The 26920-nt window shown below is 43.0% G+C and overlaps 1 protein-coding gene and 1 pseudogene across 2 annotated transcripts in view, besides 1 other annotated feature; one reads left to right on the forward strand and one right to left on the reverse strand.

Moving 5' to 3' along the window:
• Positions 1-3036, forward strand: part of BNIP3L (BCL2 interacting protein 3 like) — a 30074-nt gene extending 27038 nt beyond the window's left edge. For both annotated transcript variants that reach the window (NM_004331.3, NM_001330491.2), the window contains exon 6: positions 273-3036. In NM_004331.3, the coding sequence (NP_004322.1) occupies positions 273-321 (49 nt within the window). In that variant the 3' untranslated portion in view covers positions 322-3036. The remainder of the gene's footprint in view (positions 1-272) is intronic.
• Positions 13902-14196: a silencer, noted in NCBI's record as "tiled region #1267; K562 Repressive non-DNase unmatched - State 7:EnhWF". NCBI's record gives its function as "represses a minimal TATA promoter and a strong SV40 promoter by Sharpr-MPRA in K562 cells {active_cell/tissue: K562}" and the evidence as "EXISTENCE:reporter gene assay evidence [ECO:0000049][PMID:27701403]".
• DNAJB6P2 (DNAJB6 pseudogene 2) lies at positions 22553-23980 on the reverse strand (annotated as a pseudogene).
• Between the last annotated feature and the right edge of the window lie 2940 nt (positions 23981-26920).

Below are 26920 nucleotides of genomic sequence, written 5' to 3' on the forward strand. Positions count from 1 at the left end.
TCTCTCTGGCTTTACTTTGTCTAATCACTACCCCTTTGCTGTCGAGCCCCGATATTTAATGAGTAAACAAACTCATATAAAACCAGTTTGGCCGGGCTGGTGACTGGTTTTAAGAAAGTCAGTGATGATTTCACGGTGTTTGGGGAGCGGTACCCACAAACCTTTAGAGCCTTTTACAAAGACTGAAGAGTTTTAAGTAGAGTTCAACCTGTGGACAAGCTGGTATAGAACTGTTGAAACAGGTGAAACATGATGCTTCTGCTTCCTTTCAGCATCTATATTGGAAAGCGACTGAGCACACCCTCTGCCAGCACCTACTGAGGGAAAGGAAAAGCCCCTGGAAATGCGTGTGACCTGTGAAGTGGTGTATTGTCACAGTAGCTTATTTGAACTTGAGACCATTGTAAGCATGACCCAACCTACCACCCTGTTTTTACATATCCAATTCCAGTAACTCTCAAATTCAATATTTTATTCAAACTCTGTTGAGGCATTTTACTAACCTTATACCCTTTTTGGCCTGAAGACATTTTAGAATTTCCTAACAGAGTTTACTGTTGTTTAGAAATTTGCAAGGGCTTCTTTTCCGCAAATGCCACCAGCAGATTATAATTTTGTCAGCAATGCTATTATCTCTAATTAGTGCCACCAGACTAGACCTGTATCATTCATGGTATAAATTTTACTCTTGCAACATAACTACCATCTCTCTCTTAAAACGAGATCAGGTTAGCAAATGATGTAAAAGAAGCTTTATTGTCTAGTTGTTTTTTTTCCCCCAAGACAAAGGCAAGTTTCCCTAAGTTTGAGTTGATAGTTATTAAAAAGAAAACAAAACAAAAAAAAAAGGCAAGGCACAACAAAAAAATATCCTGGGCAATAAAAAAAATATTTTAAACCAGCTTTGGAGCCACTTTTTTGTCTAAGCCTCCTAATAGCGTCTTTTAATTTATAGGAGGCAAACTGTATAAATGATAGGTATGAAATAGAATAAGAAGTAAAATACATCAGCAGATTTTCATACTAGTATGTTGTAATGCTGTCTTTTCTATGGTGTAGAATCTTTCTTTCTGATAAGGAACGTCTCAGGCTTAGAAATATATGAAATTGCTTTTTGAGATTTTTGCGTGTGTGTTTGATATTTTTTACGATAATTAGCTGCATGTGAATTTTTCATGACCTTCTTTACATTTTTTATTTTTTATTTCTTTATTTTTTTTTCTCTAAGAAGAGGCTTTGGAATGAGTTCCAATTTGTGATGTTAATACAGGCTTCTTGTTTTAGGAAGCATCACCTATACTCTGAAGCCTTTAAACTCTGAAGAGAATTGTTTCAGAGTTATTCCAAGCACTTGTGCAACTTGGAAAAACAGACTTGGGTTGTGGGAACAGTTGACAGCGTTCTGAAAAGATGCCATTTGTTTCCTTCTGATCTCTCACTGAATAATGTTTACTGTACAGTCTTCCCAAGGTGATTCCTGCGACTGCAGGCACTGGTCATTTTCTCATGTAGCTGTCTTTTCAGTTATGGTAAACTCTTAAAGTTCAGAACACTCAACAGATTCCTTCAGTGATATACTTGTTCGTTCATTTCTAAAATGTGAAGCTTTAGGACCAAATTGTTAGAAAGCATCAGGATGACCAGTTATCTCGAGTAGATTTTCTTGGATTTCAGAACATCTAGCATGACTCTGAAGGATACCACATGTTTTATATATAAATAATTACTGTTTATGATATAGACATTGATATTGACTATTTAGAGAACCGTTGTTAATTTTAAAACTAGCAATCTATAAAGTGCACCAGGTCAACTTGAATAAAAACACTATGACAGACAGGTTTGCCAGTTTGCAGAAACTAACTCTTTTCTCACATCAACATTTGTAAAATTGATGTGTTATAGTGGAAAATAACATATAGATTAAACAAAATTTTTATCTTTTTTCAAGAATATAGCTGGCTATCTTTAAGAAAGATGATATATCCTAGTTTTGAAAGTAATTTTCTTTTTTCTTTCTAGCATTTGATGTCTAAATAATTTTGGACATCTTTTTCCTAGACCATGTTTCTGTCTTACTCTTAAACCTGGTAACACTTGATTTGCCTTCTATAACCTATTTATTTCAAGTGTTCATATTTGAATTTCTTTGGGAAGAAAGTAAATCTGATGGCTCACTGATTTTTGAAAAGCCTGAATAAAATTGGAAAGACTGGAAAGTTAGGAGAACTGACTAGCTAAACTGCTACAGTATGCAATTTCTATTACAATTGGTATTACAGGGGGGAAAAGTAAAATTACACTTTACCTGAAAGTGACTTCTTACAGCTAGTGCATTGTGCTCTTTCCAAGTTCAGCAGCAGTTCTATCAGTGGTGCCACTGAAACTGGGTATATTTATGATTTCTTTCAGCGTTAAAAAGAAACATAGTGTTGCCCTTTTTCTTAAAGCATCAGTGAAATTATGGAAAATTACTTAAAACGTGAATACATCATCACAGTAGAATTTATTATGAGAGCATGTAGTATGTATCTGTAGCCCTAACACATGGGATGAACGTTTTACTGCTACACCCAGATTTGTGTTGAACGAAAACATTGTGGTTTGGAAAGGAGAATTCAACAATTAATAGTTGAAATTGTGAGGTTAATGTTTAAAAAGCTTTACACCTGTTTACAATTTGGGGACAAAAAGGCAGGCTTCATTTTTCATATGTTTGATGAAAACTGGCTCAAGATGTTTGTAAATAGAATCAAGAGCAAAACTGCACAAACTTGCACATTGGAAAGTGCAACAAGTTCCCGTGATTGCAGTAAAAATATTTACTATTCTAAAAAAATGAGAATTGAAGACTTAGCCAGTCAGATAAGTTTTTTCATGAACCCGTTGTGGAAATTATTGGAATTAACTGAGCCAAAGTGATTATGCATTCTTCATCTATTTTAGTTAGCACTTTGTATCGTTATATACAGTTTACAATACATGTATAACTTGTAGCTATAAACATTTTGTGCCATTAAAGCTCTCACAAAACTTTTCCTGTCAGTATATCATTTTTCTGTCGCACCTGTTGCCTGGGAGTTTCAGGCGATGAGGCCTCCTCGCCTACACACAGCCTTCCAGTCATCTGGCTTCCCCAGCAGTGGAGTTCCTAACAGTGCTCAGGGTGTGAACGGTGTTCTGTGGGGACAGTCACCGCAGTGTGAGCATTCGTGAGTGCCTCGGGACTGTGGCATTCAGAGCATTTGCCTCCAGGTAGTGGCAGGAGGGCGCTCACGGGAGGAGTGCTCAGGAAGTACAGGAGAGAAGAAGAGTGTGCCCTGATGGAAATGACAGTGGGACACCAGTGAAAGTGGATCCAGAAGGAACTGGAAGTTCCACGTGCCTGGAAAACAGGATGGATACAGAGGAAACTGAAAAATGTAGGTTAGTACTGAACCTAATTGAAATGTGTGTGCCCTCCCAGGGGTCACACTTCATCATATAGTTAGCTGGGTTTACTTCTTTTAAACCAGGAGGTGATTTAAGATGTAAATTTTAGACAGTCAAGCCATCTGGTGAGAGAGTACCAGAGGAGATCAATCAGTTCTCTAGGCGAGGAGCTAGGGCCTGTCCTGGGCTGTCACCCTGAGGTTGGCAGTGGTGGGCCAGGATACGTATGAGAAACAAAGCGGAAGTAAACTGGTCAGAAAGTGACTTAGAGACGAAGGCGTGTGTATTCCTTTGTGTGTGTGGCCCGAAAACATGGGTTGATCCCATTAGTTAAAGGAGGACAGGAGAAGAAATGGGGTGGTAGGAGCAAAGAGGGAGGATTTCAGTTTTGAGTGCGTTGAACATGAAATGTCTGAGGGCCTTCTGATTGGACACTTATTAAATAGAACTATAACCCAGGAGAAGGGTCTGGAGTGGAAGTAAAACACAATCAGACCCATGCATTATATATTTATATGATGTTTAAAGATTGGACAATGGGCAAGGAAGAAAGTTACTCAAACAACAGGGAAGCCCAAAATTTGAAGGCTAAGCAGAAGAGAAGTTCTAGGTGAAATTGTTGGTATCACAGAAACCCCAAAAGTAGGAGGTGACCAAGCCTGACATGTTTCGTGGTTAAGTAAGATGAATCGAGAAGCTTTGGAATATGGCAGTCAGATCTGTGCTGATCTTTGCAAGAGCATTTTCTGTAGGAGTGAAAGAGGGATCCTGGATAAGATTGTGTTGGGTCAATGAATGAATAGCAAGAAGTGTTGGCTTTTTTGAATAAACTTCATGATTAAGAAAACAAGGGGGGAGTTTCTGAAGAGGAGACAGGATAGTAGGATTGTTGGCTTAGGTTGGGAATATAGAGGGGCCAATGTGTAGGCTAAGGAGAGAGAGCAAAGGGAGATATTAGCGTTACGGAGGGAGCAGATCAGTAATGGAAGAGTGGGACGTACTCCCTCCCGGAGAGGAAGGAAATGTAATTAAGCACTCAGGGAGGGTGAGCCTTAGAAAGGTGGAGTTTACAAAACCCAGACATTGATGACAGGAAATGAAGACATGAGAAGGGGTGAGTTAGAAATGGAAAGTGATGAAACCCCTGTCTGGTGGCTCCACTTTCTCCATGTTTGAGGAGGAGGCGGTGGTCGATGCTGAAGGAAGACAGAGCTGTTTCCCATCAGTATCTCCTCTGGAAGGAGACGGGAACTAATGCTGAAATCCTCAAAGCCTTACAATGGCTCCTGCCTTCATTCCCCAGTGCAGCCAGAAGCACCAGGCAGGTGGACTGGGCTCTGCTGCTTCACAGCCTGGGCGACATGATGCTTTGAGCTTCAGCTGTCTCCTGTGTCAAGCCAAGGGGCTGCCCGAGGTGCTCTCTGTGGACCTTTTAATTCTGCAGTTGCTGTTAGTAAATTATGGTTCAGGGTAAAAAGCAGGATTAGGAATGGGTGAATGATCGCTTGAGCCCAGGAATTTGAGACCAACCTGGGCAATATAGGAAGACTCCTTCTCTACTAAAAAATATTAACCAGGCATGGTAGCACACGCCTGTAGTTGCAGCTATTCAGAAGCTGATGGAGGGAGAATTGCTTGAGCCCAGGAGGTCAAGTCTGCAGTGAGCTAGGATTGTGCCACTGCATTCCAGCCTGGGTGACAGAGCAACACCGTGTCTAAAAAAAGTGGGAGCCAGGTGCAGTGGCTCATGCTTGTAATCCCAGCACTTTGGGAGGCCAAGACGGGAGGCTTGCTTGAGCTCAGGAGTTCAAGACCAGCCTGGGCAACATGGCAAAACCCCATCTTTACAAAAAATACAAAAAATTGGTTGGGCATGGTGGCACACACCTGTAGTCCTAGCTACTTGGGAGGCTGAGGTGGGAGGACTGCTCGAGCCCAGGAGGTTGAGACTGCAGTGAGCCATGATTGTGCCACTGCACTCTAGCCTGGGCAACAGCGAGATCCTGTCTCAAAAAAAAAAAAAAAAAAAAAAGAATGGGTGAATGAGGAATAGACACTATGGACATTTTATAAATATTACTTTAGGTTTGGTAGTGGATCAAAAATGTAAATGGACCAAGATAATGGAACAGAATGCAGAGAAAAAAATCTAAATTCTGGGTTTAGGTGAGCTGAGATTCCACATCTCAAAACTTAATCTTCAGGAAGCCAGTGGGCCCCATTCTTGATGTTTTTGCTTTTACGTATTTTAGCCCTTGAATTATTTCTTACACCACTGCTTCATGAGAGGTGTGAAGTTCAGAGTATTACCACATTTATAAACTAATTATAAAATGTAATGAAATCTTTAGAGGGGAGGAAAGAGTTTGTAAAGATTACCACGTCCTTTACTTCATCTGTTACTATTTCTGACCTAGTGGTAAAAATACAAACTTTAAGGTCATGAAATTAGGCAATTTATAAATTCAAATCAAGAGAAAATCAGTCTTGCCAAGAACTTATTTCTCCAGTGGGGACAACAGAGTCATCAGAAGTGAATGGACAATAGCAAGTCCTATAAATAACTGAAATAACAAAGGATTTTGAATAAGCAGTAATTGATGGTTAAGCTGCTAGTCAGTTCTTAGACTTTGAAATGCCAGTTTGAAGTTTGTCCCAGCGAAATGGACTTGGAAACTTTGTGTGAGAGAAGAGGGACTACAAATCCTACCAGAAATTATTTGGTTGCCACTCAGGAAAAGATACACCTCCTCTGGGTCTTACGTCATTCTTCAAAATGCTCTGCAAAAATAAAAGCTCAATCTCAGTGAATTTTACCCCTACTCCACTTACATAATGTCCTGTCCGCTACTCCCACTCTTAGTAGAAGTAAGGAAAAATCATGGACATACTTGGTAAGGAAAGAAACGCAGTTTTTAATAAAAGCTCCAAAAGTGATTGATGCGCAGCCAAGATGCAGTTCACTGGTCCTCGGGTGTATGAGAATGATGCCCACGACTGTAGTCAACTCTGATCTCTCCTGAACTCCAGACCCATGTGTCCAGCTACCTGTTAAGACATGGCCATTTGAATGTCCGTGGCCATTTCAAACTACACGTCCAGAACTCCCCGCCTCTTGCTTCCTCTTTTCTTCCAGGTGCCCATTGTTTTATGGTGTCTGTGAATGGTGCAAGGGTGCCTTCAGTTGCCCAAACCAGAAGCTTGCCAATTACTCTTTTCCTTTCCTTCTACATCTGGTCAGTCACCATGACCTGTTAATTCCACCTTCAAAACACCACTCAGTGTCACCGACCTTTCCTACCTTGCACTACCTAATTGAGGCCCCAGAGCCCTTGACTGCCTCCTTCCCAGGGCTTCCTTAGCTGAGTTCTGTGGCTCTGTACTTTTCTGTCAGCAGCCACAGTCATTGTCCTAAATTACAAATCTGATCATGGTGTCCCTTGAAATCCTTAAACGGTTCGCCATTGTCTTGGGGACCAAGTTCAAGTTCCCAAAGTGGCTGCCAGGCCTGCTGATCTCTAGCTTCATTGGACCGTGGCTGTCCCCGACTCCCACCCCACTGAAGTCAGCCTAACTTCATGCTCCTGTAACCTTGTTTTCCCTAAGTGCTGTTTTCCCTGCCAGGGATAGCCCTCCCTCCAGCTTCATTTTTCAGGGCTCAGTTTGGCAGTCACTTCCTCTGAGAAAACTTCCTTGACATCTGCCACATGTCCCTCTCCTACCTGGGCTAGAAGCCTCTCCTGTGATCTCCCGGAACACCCGGCACTTCCCCCATTGCAGCACCAGTCACCCTGAATGAGAATTGTCTTTGGCTCTTTTGTAGCTCGAGCTCCTCTAGGTAAGTGCTGTGTCTTCCCAACTGTATCCCAGAATTGGCCCCAGGCTTGTCGCATAATGCATGCTAAAAATACCTACTGAAAATTAATGGCTGCTCACAGCGGCTCACAACTGTAATCGCAGCACTTTGGGAGGCCGAGGTGGGAGGATTGCCTGAGGCCGGGAGTTTGAGCCCAGACTGGGCAACATGGTGAGACCCCCATCTCTACAAAAGCTAAAAAGCTAGTCTCAGTGGCGCATGCCTGTAGTCCCTGGTACAGGAGGCTGAGGCAGGAGGATCACAGCCTGCCTGGGAAGTCAAGGGTGCAGTGAGCTATGGATTTCAGAGCATTTTGGATTTCAGATTTTCAGATTTGGGATGCTAAAATGGTAAGTATAATGCAAATATTTGAAAATCCAATACATCGTTGAAATCCAAAGCACTTCGGGTCCCAAGGGATATACCCAGCCTGTACTACAGGGCTGGCTGGCATGACATCAAACATGGAATGGTGATTAATTTTAGCCATATAGCATTGTCTACAGGCTGGGGTTGCCTTCAATGACCTGAAATGAGATGGCTGGACATCGGAAGGGTTAGACTAAAATTCAGCCTTCAGAGAAAGGTGTGGAGAGCCTGAGGCTTTTTTACCAGTGTTCCTGAAAAGTTACCTCTACTGCCTGCTGAGAAAAGCTGCATCTGTTGAGAACTTTGTGCTGAGCATCAAAAGTGGCTATTAGTTACTAGCAGTCCTAATAGATAGTTCCTGATGTAGGAACCTGGGCTCAGTGTTGTTAAACAACTCACCTCTATCACAGCATTAATAGATTAGAGTCAGGATGCCAATTCAAAGCAAAAGCACTTTTCAGGAACCAGCCTTTCTTTTTAAATCAAGCATCTGAGGTTTCTTAATATTTCCAAAACAGTACCTTAGGATCAGTTTATATCATGAAAATCACAACTTCTAACCAAATCATTAACTACTGCAATAATTAGTAGTCTTAAAAATACTGGGCCAGGTGTGGTGGCTCACACCTGTAATCCCAGCCCTTTGGGAGGCCGAGGCGGGTGGATCACTTGAGGTCAAAAGTTCAAGACTAGCCTGGCCAACATGGCAAAACCCCTTCTCTACTAAAAATATAAAAATAAGCCGGGCATGGTGGTGCATGCCTGTAATCCAAGCTACTCGGGAATCTGAGGTAGGAGAATCGCTTGAACCCAGGAGGCAGATGTTGTAGTGAGCTGAGATCACGCACTGGACTCCAGCCTGGGCAGCAGAGTAAGACTCCATCTCAAAAAAAAAAAAAAAAAAAAAAAAATAGCAGTTTTAGTGGCAGATTTGAGAAATAACAGAATCAAACACTAGACAGTGTTGTCAGTGTGGCATATTTTGTTCTATGTGTATTTGGTAATTCTAATAATCCTGGTGTGAAGTTAGATTTTGAGCTTTAAACTATCCATTTGGGCATCCTCTAGGTTCAGCATTATGAATAAATCTGTAAAAGAAAAATCCATATGCATTTCAGCCATTTCCGAAAGTTATTTTTAATATCATCTGTGCTTTTTGTAAGTGCTATAAATGTTCCTGCCAAAGAATCCATATTTTGGGGGCTGTAAGTCAGGGTGAGAATGTATTGCATGAAAAAACTGTCGGTATCACTGGTTTCTTAAACACTGCCGTGTTCGACATGTGAGTTAATAAACAAATCACTGTTTTGAGTGAGAAGGAAAAAAGGGAGGAAGGAAATATGGAAATGTTCAGGGAGCCCTTACTGTGGGGCAGACCTTGAATTTTGAGCTCTTACATTCTTTAATCCTCACCACGCCCATTTGCAGTAGCAGCTGTTTCAGTGTTACAGATGAGAAAATTAGTGTTCAGTAAAGGAAACATGTCTCTGCTCTGCATTCTTACAGAGCAGCTTTTGAATTCCTTTGGGTTTGTGTCTGTAGCGAGGTAGCCCTCCCCTCCAAGTGAACCAGCCTTCACATAACACACAGTCCCTGGTTGCCAGGCCACCTTTTTGTTCTTTGATGGATGTGGTTTTCTTTTTTATTAGGAAAACAAATCACGTATTAATGCAGTGAACGCAATCTTAAAGGCATTTCCAACATCAACTAACAGTGTTTTCTTTGGTTTCACATTTGTGATTTTTGCCATTTAAATGGAAGATGGTTGTGAGTTTTAAAAATTCATGTAAGAATAAGGGATCTTCAGTCCACAAAAGCACCTAGGACCCCGTTGTTCCATGCATTATTTTAACCAGCAGATATTCATTGTGTACCTACTACATGCCAGGACTCCACTGTGGTTTATAGCCTGCTATTCTGTTATAGCCTGGCCCTGATGCACATAAAGGTCTATTAAAAACTGTATTACAAGCCGATGGAATAATCAAGGGCTGGAGAACCACTCTACTGAAGGGTAGAGACCCCCAGACACCAGGCGCCACATTTTCCACTTTCTCTTCCAGAACCTCACTCTGCAGCCACTGCTGCTGCCAGCACCAAAGCGCTTCTCCCCAGGAGCGCACCCTTGGAGCACCCCCCTCCTCCTTCTGCCCAAAGGAAGGAAGTGAGTTTCCCTACCCTTTCCTCTTGTGTTACTGGTTCTTGAGCCCACATCTCTCTGGATGTGCCTGATTGGGGGCTTGCTGGTGTCCTGCCTGCAAGAGAGGCTGGAAAAGTGAGTGGAGCTGGGGATGGTCCTTTGCCCTCCTGCCCTCCACGCCCACCAGGACTCATAAAGTGGTTGATTCTTCCAGCCTAGAAAGAAGTTCAGATGCTGGGTTGCCAAAAGGAAAGATAAATGTCATCTGTGACTGGATCAAACATGGACATGGAACTTTCTGTCTAGCAGAAAGAGTAAACAGATAAATAATTGCATACATTATTAAGGTAAGTGTTAAGGAGAGACAGAATTATGAGAACCTATAAAATGGGGACTTAGCTGAAGCGGCCTTTAAACCAAGCCCTGAAAGCTGAGAAGCTGTGAGCTGCCAGGGGAAAGGGTGGAGAAGAACTTCCCAAGAATAGGGAACAGCAAATGCTCTCAAAGTCAAAAAGAACAGGAGCGTCGCTGAAAGACAGCCAGTGATGACACCGAGAGCTGGGAGAACTTGGAGAGACAGCATATGGATTAGGAAGGGCCTTGGAGGCCACATCGACAATTATAGACTTTATTCAAAGGGTTTTGGGAAGTCACTAGAGAGTTTTAAATAGGGGAACAACAGGCTTAGGTTTTTAGGTTTGCATTATTAAAAGACCAAAGAGCACTCTTTTTTTTTTCTTTTTTTCTTTGAGACACGGTCTTGCTCTGTCACCCAGGCTGGAGTGCAGTGGCGTGATCTCGTTTCACTGCAACCTCCGCCTCCGGGGTTCAAGCGATTCTCCTGCCTCAGCCTCCCAAGTAGCTGGGATTACAGGCACCCACCACCACGCAGGCTAATTTTTGGTAGAGACAGGGTTTCGCCATGTTGGCCAGGCTGATCTCAAACTCCTGACCTCAGGTGGTCTGCATGCCTTGCTCAGCCTCCCAAAGTGCTGGGATTACAGGCGTGAGCCACTATACCTGGCCACTCTTTTAAACTTAGAGAATGAAATTGAGACAGACAAGCATAGGTATGAGATGACCAGTTAGGAGGAAGTTATTACAGTGGCTTAAAACTAAATTTGTGGTGGAGATGGGGGAAAAAAAGATGGATTTGAGAAATATCCAGGAAGTACAATCGGTAAGATGGGATGAATGACGGGATATGTCACCCCAGAGTGTCAAAGGACACACCTAGCTTGCTTCGGAATTACAGTTGCATTTCTTGAGGGACAGCGTCTGGTGGTCCAGAAGGAGGGTGGGAGCGGTGTGTCAGGCAGCCATGCAGAAGCATTGACTGCGCCATTGGATACAAGAGTCGGGAACTCAGAATAGAGACCTGGCTGAGAGAGACTTTGGACTTAATTAGCAACCAGTGGTAGGTGAAGCCGCAAAATGGATAACATGACCTGGGGCTGGGGGAGGGGGTGGAGAGAAAAAGGAAGGTCTAGGAAGAGCCCAGAGAACTCCAACATGGAAAGATTTGCAGAGGAGAAGCTAAAAGGAAGTTGAAAAGGCCAGACAGCAAGAGGAAAACCAGGCCCTGAGAAGAGCATTTTTCAAGAGCTGTGAAGCCACGTGTTTCAAGATCAATGGAAAGGAGGGACTGTCTGGCACATATTGGTTTCATCAACATGGAAATCATTCATCTTAACAGCTGCCCTTTTGGAAGCTTGCTGGAGATGGGAGTTAGACTAGGGTGCTCTGAGAGTGTGAAGAGGTAAAACAACGGGAAAACAGCAGCCCTTTCTGCAAAATGTGGCCCTGAAGGGGAGTGAAGAGAGATGATAAGCAGAGGGAATATGGGCTTGAGGAAGGATTTTTTTTTAAGGTGGGACAGATTTGAGCATATTTAAATACTAGTGGGAAGGCTCTGTATTGGGACTCTCTTGAGAAACAGAGCCAATAGGATGTGTGTAAATAAAGAAATTTGTTACAAGGGCCTGACTCACTGGTTATGAAGGTTGGCAAGACCAAAATCTGCAAGGTAGGACAGCAGGCTGGAGACCCAGGGAAGAGTCCATGGTGCAGTTCCAGCCCGAAGGCCAACTGCTGCAGATTCCGTCTTGCTCCTCGGGCTTTTATTCCAGTGAGGCCTTCAACTCAATGGATGAGGCCCACTCCACCCGTACTATGGAGGGCAAGGGGCTTTACCCAAAGTCCCCCAATGTAAATGTTAATCACAATCGCATCCAAAAACACCCTCGCGAAAGTGACCAAATATTGGCACCATGGCCCGGCCAAGTTGACCTATAAATTCATCATCACCGAGAGATGTGGAGGATACAGGAGAGGGCAGAGGGGGCAAGGTTTTGTTTCGTTTTTAACACAGAGAAGCACCAGTATTCCAGAAGCTCCCTCCATACCCTTCGGCTCCAAGGCCCTGATGGCTCCATAAGGAACAACAAACGTGACCTGTTTCAATGCCATTCAAACCAACAAAGATGGCTTGTAACATGATTTTTAAAGCCATGTTTGCGACCACATTTAACACTTGCAATTACGACCACGCCTGGTATGTGAGTTTGAGAACACATTGCCAAGGAGGGCTAAACTGTTCTTTATAGTCAAGGGAGAGGAATTTGAGGTTGAGTGTCAGATCAGCTTCCTAGGGGACTGGGAAGGAGACGGGGAGAGGAAGGAGGCAACAGATACTCTCTTTCTGAAAAGGCTCTGAAATGTAAATCTGTCCTCCTCTTTCTTCCAAACAAAAAATCCCATCGCAGAGACAGGGTGGGTTATTTGGGGGGGCCCTCAGAGAAACTTGAATTTCACAACCGGGTCAGAATTGTAACTTGGAGATAGCACATGGGAAAACTATTATTTTTCTCCATTATTTATTTATTTATTGTGTGTGTAGAGGGGGGTGGGGGGTAGAGACAGGGTGTCACCGTGTTTGCCAGGCTGATCTCAAACTTCTGAGCATAGGCAATCCTCCTGCCTTGGCCTCCCAAAGTGCTAGGATTACAGGCACTCACTTTTTAAAATTTAATGTACATAAGGAAAAACTTACTGTTCTTAGCGGACCATTCTGCAGATTTTGACAGGTAGGTACAATTGCATAATCACCACCACAATCAAGATACAGAACATTTCCATGCCCCAAAAATTCTCACATCTTCATTTTATTTTTATTTTTTAATTGGTAAATAATAATGATACATATTCATGGGGTACATGGTGATATTTTGAAACATTTAATGTATGGTGATCCTATCAGGGTAATTAGCATATGGACCATCTCAAACAACTGTCATTTGTTTGTGTTGGGAACGTTTGATATCCTCTTTCTAGCTATTTGAAACTATATGTTATTGTTAAGTATAGTCATCCCACAGTGCTATAGAACACTAGAACTTATTCTTTCATCTGGCTGTAATTCTGCATCCTATCCCCCTTCCTCTACCCTTCCCATCCTCTAATTATCCTCTGTTCTACTTTCCTCACATCCTCATTTTAAAAAACAAAATACTGATTGGAGAACTGAAAACAACTTCGATGGTTGTTTTGTATACTTAATGGTAGTTTTGGATGCTCACAGCAACAGTCATCTGACAAACTTGTTTAAAAAGGGGGTGGGGCAGACAAAGAAACAACATATATTTACTAATTATACCTGCACTGTGGCATCATAATTGCACAAATTGCATAAATGCTAGATGTATGCAGTTGTAAATATGCCTTCAAAATTCATTTTACTGGCTGGGCATGGTGACTCATGTCTGTAATCCCAACACTTTAGGAGGCCAAGGCAGGAGGACTGCTTGAGGCCAGGAGTTAAAGACCAGCCTGGGCAACATAGCAAGACTCTGTCTCTACAAGAAAAAAAAAAAAAAGCCAGGTATGGTGGGGCACACCTGTAGTCCTAGCTACTCTGGAGGCTAAGATGGGAGGATCACCTGAGCCCAGGAGTTGCAAGCTGCAGTGAGCTGTGATCGCACCACTGCACTCCAGCCTGAGTGAAAGGGCAAGACCCTGTCTCTTAAAAAAAAAACAAAAAAACTTTACAGGCAATATTTATTGGTTGAAACAGTGGTGTAAGAAACTCTCTTCAGCCATAGTCACACTTGGAACAGGATAAACATCTTCACAGAACAGAAGCAACAGGAACGTAGAACCATGGATCAAGGCGAACGCAATGGCAACAACCTTCCGCGCTCCTATTAGGAAACCAGTGGTGCAGCTGGAAAATCAGGGCTCTCGGTGTCCTCATGAGGTGGGCGTGGAGTCAGAGAGTGTTGATTCAGCCCTGCCATCTGCCTGGAGCCTCCAGGCCTGGGCGAACATGTGGACCACACACGTTGTGTCTGGCTTCTTCCACTGACATCGTGTTTGTGAGGTTCACCCACACTGCAACACGCTGTCAGTTCCAACATGCTATCAGTTCTTCATTCCTTTTTATGGCGGTAGAATGTTCCAGCATATGGATATACACTCCCTAGACTTTTTACAATGAAATATTTTAGACATAAAAAGATCCACAAAATAATAGAATGAATAATGTGAGGAGTCCACAGCTTAGGGAGTGAAGCCTATTTGTCAATTACTCTATGCTTGTGGGAAACACAGCCTTGCTGTCATGTTAATAGAATTTCAGGAGGAAGCAGAAGTAGATGGGTGGGTTTGAGCTGCCCTCTCCACTCAGAAGTCCTTGTTTGACCTTGTCGTACTGTATGGATGTAGAACTTTGACAAAAATAACACTAAGTAAAAATAAAATAAGGTCAAATTTAGAAGTAATCAGGAAGGTTCCAATGGAAGTGAGCATGAGTTATTACTTGGTGTAAATCAAAATGGCTAATTAATTAATTAATTTAGAGATGGTTTTGCTCTGTCACTCAGGCTAGAGTGCAATGACACGATCTTGGCTCACTGCAACCTCTGCCTCCTGGGGCTCAAGCAATCCTTCCTCCTCAGCCTCCTGAGTAGCTGGGACTACAAGCACGTGCCACCATGCCCAGCTAAGTTTTGTACACATGGGGAGACTATAGGTGCACACTACCACGCCCAGCTAATTTCTGTATTTTTTGTGGAGATGAAGTTTCACCATGCTGCCCAGGCTGGTCTCAAACTCCTGGGCTCAAGTGATCCATCTACTTCGGCCTCCCAAAGTGCTGGGATTTACAAGCATGAATCACTGCGCCCGACCAAAAATGTTTTAAAAAGCCTGTCTCTGCAGGTGGGGGTGAGAAGAAAGGACTCCTATAAGTGCTGGTGGAAATGGGGATCAGAAGGGTCTTTTTGGAGACAGTTGGCAGCATTTATGAACAGTCGACATATACCCTTTGGTCTTCGAATCTGACTCTTAGGAATCTATCCCATGGGAAAAAAACATACCACACATACCAAGTTTGTAATGATATGAGTGAAAGAATGTTTATCAGTGCTGCCTGTAAAGGCCTCAAATGGAAATGAGTGAAGCCTATCAGTGGGCGATGGCCGGATAAGCTCTGGTTCCTCCATATCAATGAATAGTGAACAGCCATTTAAAAGAATATGTGAGTCACATTAGATATCTTGCTGTGAATTTCATTTTTAAAAAAGCATGATGCAAGAAAGTCTGTAAAATATTATTCAATTTATATTAAATAGGGTCTACCCTCATTTATACTTTAATATATGTATATGCACATAGTTGTGTATGGCATTGTATGACTGTGGAGATAAATGACTAATGGGAAGTGTGGGGATGGGGCCCTCATACGGTGGTGGTGGTGATGGGGAGGGTAGTTGAGGTGCCCAAAACAGCATGTATGACGTGTTCCTGTTTAGGTCAACTGACATACATGGGTGTGTCTATTTAAAAAGAAAAGAATTTTGTCAGGGTCGGGTGTTCTGGCTCATGCCTATAGTCCCAGTGCTATGGGAGGTGGAGGCAGGCAGATCACTTGAGCCAAGAGTTGGAGACCAGCCTGGGCAACATGATGAAAACCCATCTCTACAAAAAATACAGAAATTAGCTGGGCGTGGCAGTCAGTGTGCACCTGTAGTCTCCCCAGGTCCAATCACTCCTCCCTTCCCACCAAAGGACCAGCATCTGCCACCTCATGGACAATCCGCTTTAATTGCAAGGTTGGGTTTTCGCCTTTAAAACGCAGTGTTTCTCAGTGGCTTCTGGGACAACTCACTTGCCTATCAAATGAGGCTCTTATCCTGAAATACACTCCACACACACACACATATACACACGTGCGCGCACAGACACAGAGCATCAAGGAGAACCAGAACTTTAGAAAAAGCAGAGTTCTGAACACTCATCTCCTCTCCCTCTTGAGACCCTGCCAAAATTACGGTAAAGGAACTTAAAAAGAGAATAAACTGATCCTTATAAAGACAATGGAAGAGGAGCAGCAGCAGATTTCAGCACATCATGGAAGAAGAATGCCAAGAGGAGTATGATCTCACCGTCTCCTCACATTGCAGTGAGGGCTGGAGCCCAGCAGCTGCTGGGCTCACTTTCTCCTGATGGGCTCTGCTTAAAACAAGGCTGCTTTGGGCCAGGCTTGGTGGCTCATGCCTGTAATCCTAGCACTTTGGGAGGCCGAGGCAGGCGGATTGCCTGAGTTGAGGAGTTCAAGACCAGCCTGGGCAACACAGTGAAACCCCGTCTCTACTAAAATAAAAAAAAGTAGCAGAGTGTGGTGGCGCGCGCCTGTAGTCCCAGCTACGCGGGAGGCCGAGGCAGGAGAATTGCTGCAACCCGGGAGGCAGAGGTTGCAGTGAGCCGAGATCGCGCCACTGCACTCCACCCTGGGTGACAAAGTGAGACTCCATCTCCAAAAAAAATTTTAAAAAAACAAACAAAATGAGGCTGCTCTGACGTCAATTCTTGCTGCGATCCTCAAGTCCCCCAGAAGAATTCTCCCTGTATCTTCCTGTGCCTGGCAGGAGTTCCGTTTGACTCTGGCTCAGCATCATGGCCAAAGGCAGGCAGAGGCAAAGGGAGGGGTGAAGGCAGGGTGAGGCCCTTCACAGAGAGAGAGAGACACACAGATGGGACAAATGATCCCTTCAAAGCTTAATGTCTCAGGCAAACTGACCTAGCTACTGCATAAAGTCAGTTTTTTGAACTAGGATCTAACTCATCAGGATTTAAATTTATTTTACTCTAATATGTGGTTTTATTGAAATTAATTATATTTGCAAACACAAATTTTTAAATCTTTTCTCATGAAAGTCAAATTCTGAGTGTCTCAAATTAATGCACTGATTAGTCTCTGTGACTGTAGAAGTGTTTTGTTTTGTTTGTGTTTTTAAAATTGTGGTAAAACAAGCATAACATGCAATTTACCATCTTAACCATTTTTCGTGTACAGATCACTAGTGTTAATTATAAGCACACTGTTGTAAAATAGGTCTCTAGCACTTTTTCATCTTGCAAAACTGCACTTATTGAATGGCAAATCCCTGTTCCCCTTCCCCAGCCTCTATTCTACGACCACTCTTGTACTTTGTTTGACTATTTTAACATCTCATGTAAGTGAAGTCATACAGAGTTTTTGTTTTTTTGTGACTGACTTCTTTTACTTTGCATCATGTCTTCGAAGTTTATCCATGTTCTAGCATAGGACAAGATTTCCATCTTTTTTTGAAGACTGAATAACATTCCATTTTATGGATAGACCACATTTTATTCATTCGAACACTAGTGGGCATTTGGGTTGCTTCCACCTCTTGGCTATTGTGAATAATGCTGCTATGAACATGGTGTGCAAATATCTCTGAGATCCTGCTTTAAATTTTTTTCGGATATATACTCAGAAGTAGGATGATTACAGAATCATTACAATAATTCTGTTTAATTTTTTGAGGAACCTCCAAACTGTTTTCCATAGCGGCCGCTATTTTACATTCCCACCAATAGGGCACAAGGGTTCAATTTCTCCATGTCTTTACCAACAACTGTCATTTTGTTTTCGTTTATAGGGCCCATCCTAATGGGTGTGAGATGATCAAGATTTAAATTTGTAATCTTGACCTTGACATGATTTATACCTAGTAAGATAAACATCATAGTTAAAAGCCACGTGTGTGTGTGTGTGTGTGTGTGTGTGTGTGTGCACACATAAGAAGGAGGGAGAGAGGAGAAACGAGGGAGACTGTGCAGGTATAAAGTGCATATTTTTGCTAATTAGTCCTGAGAATATAGCTGGAATTCTTTGGGAATGAAGGATTCAGTGTGACATAGTGGCAGACACCCAGGGAGTGGAGACAGAAATTTTTTACTTTGCCATTGACTTGGGTTACTCTGGGGAAGCATGTAAATTCTCTGAGTCTCAGTCTCTTCCTAGTGAGGATTAAAAGAAATATACACGTAAAAGAAGTGGGCCTGGCATGTATCAAACACTTAATTTTAAAATGTCAGCTGGAATAAATAAGACAACAAGAGGGGCGGGGCTAGGTCATTGCCAAGTTCAGCAGGTAGCTGAGTTCTTTACTTTGCAGATGTTGCTGAATCGTTTTCTTTATTCTAAAATACAGATAAAGTTCACTTTGCACAGCAGATGAGTTGAAGAGATACTGTGCCTGTGGGGAATGTTTTGTAATGAAGCAAATAAAACCGTAATGTTTTCTGGGAACTCTACATAAAGGAACCCATGGTGAAGTTAAATGTGATTTTGTAATACAAATAATTTATCTGATTGCTAACTACATGTTTCAATAGTTAGCTCCTTTCTTTCTGTCTCTTTCTCTTCCACCCTTTCTCCATCTTTTTCTTTCCCATCCCCTTTCAAAAAGGACTTCATGTTGCCATATCAAAGATAAGATTAAAAGAACAGCAACCCCATTACTGGGTCTATACCCAAAGGAAAATAAATCATTCTACCAAAAAGACACATGCACTTGTATGTTCATCACTGAGCTATTCACAATAGCAAAGACATGGAATCAACCCAGGTACCCATCAATGGTAGACTGGATAAAGGGAATGTGGCACATATACACCATGGAATACTACGCAGCCATAAAAAAGAATGAAATCATGTCCTTTGCAGCAACATGGATGGCACTCAAGGTCATAATCCTAAGCAAATCAGTGTAGGAACAGAAAACCACATGCTGCATGGTCTCACTTATAAGTGAGAGCTAAACGTTGAGCACACATGGACATAAATATGGGAACAACAGACACTGTGAACTACTAAAGGATGAGGGCAGTTGGGTTAAAAAACTACCTATCAGGGGCCGGGCGCGGTGGCTCACGCCTGTAATCTCAGCACTTTGGGAGGCCGAGGCGGGCGGATCACGAGGTCAGCAGATCGAGACTATCCTGGTCAGCACGGTAAAACCCTGTCTCTACTAAAAATACAAAAAAAAATTTAGCCAGGCGCGGTGGCAGGCGCCTGTAGTCCCAGCTACTTGTGAGGCTGAGGCAGGAGAATGGCGTGAACCCGGGAGGCAGAGCTTGCAGTGAGCCGAGATCACGCCACTGCACTCCAGCCTGGGCGACAGAGTGAGATTCCGTCTCAAAAAACAAACAAAAAAAACTACCTATCAGGTACTATGCTCACTCCCTGGGTGATGAGATTCGTACTCCAAACCTCAGCATTATGCAATATTCCCATGTAACAAATCTGCACATGTACCTTCTGTATCTAAAATAAAAGTTGAATTTTTTTAAAAAAATTAAAAGATAAATTGGAAGGAAAGGCAAAAAAGTATAGAAGAAAAATGTAAAGTTTGAGCAAATATTAATTCCCCAAACACAAATGTTATGACGAGAGCTTTTGTTAAAGGAAGGGTTAAACAAAACTTTGATCTGAGCATCCTGGTGTCCAGTGCAAAGAGGCAAACATAATTCAATCCATCAAAGTCCAAAAAACTGAAAGAAAACACACACACACACACACACACACACACACAGCCCAAAAAACTGAAAGCAAGCTGACTGCATAGTTTTGATCAGTGATGCCTGAAAAAATATTTTTTCCTTAGAGGTGTTAAAAAAAAAGGGCACGTTCTCAACAATATCCCTAAAATAAATATAACACTGAATTTTAAAAAATTCAGTGAAGTCGGCAAACCACAGCCTGGCTACTGCAGAAAATAGAATCTTTTGCCTAAGTTATTGTTGATCCCATCTTGTCCTTGTGAGTTCAAGATCTTGTGTGATTCTCAGAATTGACTCATAAAAAAAAACAAAGAAAAAGGGGACCTTATTGAACATTAGGAGCCTCATGCTTAACCTCAGAAATCCTACGGAAAATACTTGATTATTTAAATTTGATTACCACCTGTAATACCAGCACTTTGGGAGGCAGAGGCAGGAGGATGGCCTGAGGCCAGGAGTTCAAGACCAGCCTGGACAACATAGCTAGACTCCAACTCTATTTTAAAAAAATAAGTAAATAAAAAATAAAAATAAATTTGATTACCAAAAAAATTAAACTTATGTATGAGAAATACCATAAACAAAGTCAAAAGATAAATGATAAATTGGGAAAAGGTTTGCCAACACCTACGGTAAAGAGAAAAATTGTGTCTTCTGAGAAGGCACCCTCCCCCTGCCCTAATTTGCAGGTAAGTGTTGACAGTGTGGGGAAGACCCTCTACAGAAGACACTCTGCTATAATTTTTGGATCTTATAAAATGTCTATGAAAGCCTTTCTCCCAGAATCAGCCTTATCTAGAGACAGGGCTCAACTTCCAAGCTGCCGGGACACCCTGGAGCTTGTAACATGTCCATGTTTGGGCAGGCCTATGGCCTCTACCTTAGTTCCTGATGCTTTAGTAGCAAACTGATGCAGTAATAGTTGGTCACGGCTATGAGGTTGGGGCGGGGTGGACCGGTCCTGGGCACCCCACTTGGGCAATCTCTCCCTAACATAGGTTTTGGCTTCCCGTTTTGACTTGTAGATAATACCATTATATGCTTATTGCCTGCTGGGTCTTCCCAAGGATCTCTCCTAGGACTTCAGTCTCACCCTGTCTAGCATAAGACATGCCAGTCTCTTCTCCTGAAGCCCCTCCTCCTGTTCCTTATCTCCCCTGGAAAGTTGCCACCACTCACCTGCTCAAGCCCCAAGCTGGGCGGGACCTATACTTCCTTCTCTTTCGCTTCCCTGCAGGTCTGTTGTGTCACCGGTCTGTTGACTCTGACTCCATTATTTTTCCAGCATCCTTCTACTTTCCTGTCTTCCTGCTGCTCCTCCCTTGGTTTGGTCACTATACTCTTTCTGAAATGCAAATCTGATCAGACCACTTTTATTTCTTTTTTTTTTTTGAGGCTGAGTTTCGCTCTTGTCGCCCAGTCTGGAGTGCAGTGGCGTGATCTCGGCTCACTGCAACCTCCGCCCCATGGGTTCGAGCAATTCTCCTGTCTCAACCTCCCAAGTAGGTGGGATTACAGGCGCCTGCCACCACGCCCAGCTAATTTTTGTATTTTTAAGTAAGAGACGGGGTTTCACCATGTTGGCCAGGCTGGTCTCGACCTCCTGACCTCAGGTGATTCACCACCTCGGCCTCCCAAAGTGCTGGGATTACAGGTGTGAGCCACCGTGCCCAGCCGATCATATCACTTTTTGCTTAAATCCTTTCAGTGGCTTACTGATACTATTAGTGTAAAGGCCAAACTCCTGCTCTTGTCTAGTGGGGCAGAAAACAAATATATAAGCAGATATTTTGATACATTCTATAATAAAGGTCATTTTAGATAAGTACAATCAAGAAAATAAAAGTGCGATGCACTAGATGTGAGTGTAGATGTTAGTATAGTTGGATTTTGGGGAGGAAGATGACATTCATGCTGACCCCGGTCTATGAGAGAAAGCACAGCCAGGCAGCTCCCCTCCTTCCTCTCCCACCTTTATTTTTGGTATAAATTGATGGTGTTTATGTGCAGTTTTGTTACATGCATAGATTGCATAGTGGTCAAATCAGAACTTTTGGGGTATCCATCACTTGAATAACATATGTTGTACCCACCAACTAATTTCTCACCATCTACCCTTCCCCCCGCACCCTCTCAGTCTCCGTGGTCTATCATTCCACTCTTAATTTGCATGTGTGGACATTTTTTAGAACCTACTTAAGAGTGAGAACATGTGATATTTGACTTTCTGTGCCTGGCTTGTTTCACTTAAGATAATGACCTGTAGTTCCATCTATGTTGCTGCAAAAGACGTGATTTCATTATTTTTTAATGGCTGAATAATATTCCATGGTGTATATGTATCACATTTTCTTTATCCATTCATCACTGATGGACACTTAGGTTGATTCCGTATCTTTGCTATTGTGAATAGTGCTGTGATAAACATACAAGTGCAGGTTTTTTTTTTTTTTTTTTGAGACATAGTCTCGCTCTGTCACCTAGGCTGGAGTACAGTGGCATGATCTTGGCTCACTGCAACCTCTGCTTCCTGGGTTCAAGTGATTCTCCTGCCTCAGCCTCCTGAGTAGCTGGGACTACAGGCACACGCCACCACGCCTGGCTAACTTTTGTATTTTTAGTAGAGACGGGCTTTCACCATATTGGCCAGGCTGGACTTGAACTCCTGGCCTCAAGTAATCTGCCCGCCTTGGCCTCCCAAAGTGCTGGGATTACAGGCATGAGCCACAGCGCCCGGCCATTTTTAATTTATATTAAACCAGAAATGTATTACCATTAATGCATTAATATCTTTCACTACTAAATACTGAAAAAACATTGAAATTATTTCTGTAGAAGATTTGTCCTGGCAATGTTAACTTCACAGCAGACCGACACTACGTAGCTCACATTTCAGACACAATGGAAAAGCAGATCCATGCTGGTGTTAGTGTGCAATCTTCTCCTACACTAAAGTCAGGGTCACCTTGGAGTACATTTAATAAAAAAACAAAGAGCATACAGAGATTTACAATAATTTTAAAGACAAAAAAATGGTCCTTTTATGTTGTCCCAACAATAAACTCAAAAGTCTATGACAAATAGAGGTTCTGATGGGTTGTTTATAAATTCTTTAGATTAGGTATAATGATAATGAAAGTGGAGTTCATTTGAAGTCTTCAAAAAAAAAAAAGTTCCTGTTAATCCTCAAATGATGCTTGCTACAGTTTAACATTTCTGTTAAGAGCATGCATTGAATTACTTGTTACCCAAGCGCAGCAGCTGTTCCTTACCACTTACTGTTAAGGGCTTTAACTGGCCGTCTTCTTCAACTTCTACCCTTTCTTGACCATTCTCGACAATTCTCTTTGCAGTCTCTCGAAGTCAAATTTAAGTGCAAATATATTACATAAAAGAGGTAATGCTATGAAATATTATCTATTAATAGCTAGACATAAATTTGTTTCCAAAATGAGACCTAGGGATTCTGGAGCTGGGAGAAAGAGCCAGAGGCCTGGTAAGCATGGGTCCTGCCGTAGGACCTGTGTGAGAATCCCTGTTCGTTGGGAGGGGGCAGTAGCGGGAGTTGTGAGGGATAAAGGGGAAGTGAAAAAGAAAGGAGAGTGTATTCGTTCATTTTCATACTGCTATAAAGAAATGCTTGGGACTGTGTAATTTATAAAGGAAAGAGGTTTAATTGACTCACAGTTCCGCATGGCTGGGGAGGCCTTAGGAAACGTAGTGATTTTTCTGTCATTAACCATTTTAGTAGAAGTTGATATCGATTTGAAGTTGCTCATCCCACTACCACCAAATGATGTAGAAGAGAATGAAGTGAGGTCTCCCTGACCTAGTGACCCAAATGAAGTAAATCCTGTATCAAAAGAAGAAAATTCATTTCCGAAAGATGGAAATACACTGAATGTGGAGAAAAACGACCCCATCCCTCGGCGTCTGCTTCTTCAGGGACCCCTTCAATTCCCAAAAAAGTCGTCAAAAGAAGTCAAATGAAAATGGGTCCCTTTCACCAAAAAATTCCCTGAAGACATCATCTGGGTTACGGAATGTGAAGCCAAAATCAAATGGACCATCAAAATGACTTCCACCTCCCCCTCCACCAGTGCATCCTTCTTTGCCACATTTGTCATAGATGTCCCGTTTCTTAGCATCTGACAGCCCTTCATAACACCTCCGCTACTTGTTTGAGTTTTCTGTCTGCTTCTTCTTTATTGATCTGGGTGCCACTTCAGGGCCAGTTTCTGATATGCCTTTGTAACATCCTCCGGTGAGGCATGTCTCTGCACACCGAGAACTTCCTAGTCATCCACCGTGTTTTAAGAGATTGTTGGTATTGGTCCGAGGACAGAGGCGGCTGGTGGCGGGATGCAGGCGGCTGGTGGCGGGATGCAGGGGTGGCGGCCCGGATCTCTTCCCGGCTCCAGGCACTGCTGTGCTGGTGGCGGCAGCGGCTCCTCGTGCTTTCCTTTGCCTCATTTCTGAAATTTTAATTTTGAAAAAAATGAGATGGGGTCTTCCTATATTGTCCAGCCTGGTCTCAGACTCCTGGCCTCAAGCGGTCTTCCCAGCTTGGCATCCCAATCATGCCAGGATTATAGGCATGGGCCACCAAGCACAGCCAGAAATGCCACTGATTTTTGTATATTGATTTTGCATCCTGCAACTATATTAAATTCATTTATCAAATCTAAGATTTTTGGTGGAGTCTTTAGATTTGTCTAGGCATAAGATCATGTCATCTGCAAACAGGGACAATTTGACTTTCTGTTTTTCAATTTGGATGCCTTTGATCTATTTCTCTTGCCTGATTGCCCTGGCTAGGACTTCCAGTACTATATTGAATAGGACTCTCCTACCTCTTTGAAGGCACTGTACTTTGTGGCTTTGAGACGTAATCAGACTGTTCTTTCTGCCTCATTTGTTCCTCTCTCTCTCTTCACTTGACTAAGAATTACCTTCAGGTCACTTCTTTAAGGGAGACTGCCCATCCCATGGAACTCTGTACTTTGTGCTTCATGTCAAGTTGTTTTGCAGAAGGTGTGTTCCACGTCTGCACTCCTACAGGCAACTATTGTCCATTCTTTTAAATCTCAGCCATTTTGTTAGGCAAGTGATAGTATCTCATTGTTGCCTTAATATGTATTTTCTTTGAGTCTAATGAGATTGGACATATTTTTATGTTTTCTGTCCATTTGAGCTTTTCTTTTGTGGCTTTCCAACTTCCCTCTTTCATTTATGTTTCTGTTGGTGTGATCATAGCATTAGCATTCACCTAACAGCATGGTTGCTGCATGCCCAGGATTAACATATGTGAGGTGGTTATTAGGGGCTGGATCGCGCCCTCCCCAAATTCACCATTGTTGAAGCTCTGGGATTATATTTGGAGACAGGTCCTTTAAAGAGGTGATTAAGTTAGAAGGAAGTGGTTACCCTGGTCCTTAATCCAATCTGACTGATGTCCTTACGAGAAGAGATTAGGACGCTCAGAAAGAGACACCACAGATGCACATGAACTGAGGCCACGCGAGGACACGGCCAGAAAGCTGCTTCTCTGCAAGCCAAGGGGAGAGGCCGCAGAAGAAACCAAATCCACTGATACCTTGCTCTTGGACTTCTTTTATTTATTTATGCATTTATTTAGAGATGGAGTCTCCCTCTGTTGCCCAGGCTGGAGTGAAGTGGCATGATCTCAGCTCACTGCAGTCTCCGCCTCCTGGGTTCAAGTGATTCTTCTGCCTCAGCCTGGCAAGTAGCTGGGATTACATATGCCCACCGTCATGCCCTGGTAATTTTTTTTTTTTTTTTGAGACAGAGTCTCGCTCTGTGGCCCAGGCTGGAGTGCAGTGGTGTGATCTCAGCTCACTGCAACCTCTGTCTCCTGGGTTCAAGCAATTCTCCTGCCTCAGCCTCCTGAGTAGCTGGGACTACAGGCATGCACCACCATTTTTTTTTTTTTTTTTTTTTTTTTGAGACAGAGTCTCACTCTGTCACCCAGGCTGGAGTGCAGTGGTGCAATCTCATCTCACTGCAAGCTCCGCCTCCCGGGTTCACGCCATTCTCCTGCCTCAGCCTCCCGAATAGCTGGGACTACAGGCGCCTGCCACCAAGCCCAGCTAATTTTTTGTATTTTTAGTAGAGATGGGGTTTCACCGTGTTAGCCAGGATGGTTTCGATCTCCTGACCTCGTGATCCACCTGTCTCGGCCTCCCAAAGTGCTAGGATTACAGGAGTGAGCCACCACACCTGGCCTCTTTTTTGTATTTTTAGTAAAGACGGAGTTTCATCATGTTGGCCAGGCTGGTCTCGAACTCCTGACCTCAAGAGATCCGCCCCATCTTGGCCTCCCAAAGTACTGGCATTACAGGTGTGAGCCACTGAGCCGGGCCATTGTTTTTGTATTTTTAGTAAAGATAGGGTTTCACCATGTTGGCCAGGCTGATCTGGAACTCTTGGCTTCAAGTGATCTGCCGCCTCAGGCTCCCAAGGTGCTAGGATTACAGATGTAAGCCACCGCCCCCGGCCATGGACTTCTAGCCTCTTGAACTTTGAGAAGTTAAATTTCTATGGTTGAAGTCATCCAGTCTGTGTGGTACTTTGTTGTGGTATCCTTAGCAAATGCAGCAGTGTTCCAGGCACTGGGGTTTCAGCATCAAAGAAGACAGAGAAAGTCCCTGCTCTGATGGATTAAAGCAGGAGGCAAAAAAATAAGATCTAATATAAACCTTTATTTATTTATTATATTTATATTTATGTCAAATTAGAAATGCCTATTTATAGTAAGACACAAATAAGATAGAAGGAAATAAATAATAGTAGTGATAGGGTAGGAAGAAAATAAATAGGGTGGGGTCATAGAGCGTGATGGAGGCTTGCTAGGGAGGTCTGGAAGGCGGAAAAGGTCTCTCTAAGGGGGTAAGACCTAAACTTGTGCTGAGGTCTGAAGACAGGAAGAAGCCAGCCTTGCAGAGGTAGAGACTGGCAAGTATGCAGTGCAGAGGCCCTGAGGTAGCCATTGTGGTTGCAGGAGTTCACAGCTTGTAGCTGCATCACTGTGACCTCAGCCTTGGTCTTCACGTAGCCTTTTCCTCTGTGTGTCTGATCTCCCTCTGCTTCTCTCTTATGGGACACTTGCGGTGGCATTTAGGGCCCTCCCAGCTAATCCAGGACAAGCACCTCATCTCAAAATCCTTACCCTAATCACACCTGCAAAGGCCCTTTCTCCTTATTAGGTAGTATGAGGTTGGTGCAAAAGTCAT

This window comes from Homo sapiens, chromosome 8 (genome assembly GCF_000001405.40).
Source record: "Homo sapiens chromosome 8, GRCh38.p14 Primary Assembly".
Taxonomy (NCBI): Eukaryota; Metazoa; Chordata; class Mammalia; order Primates; family Hominidae; genus Homo; species Homo sapiens.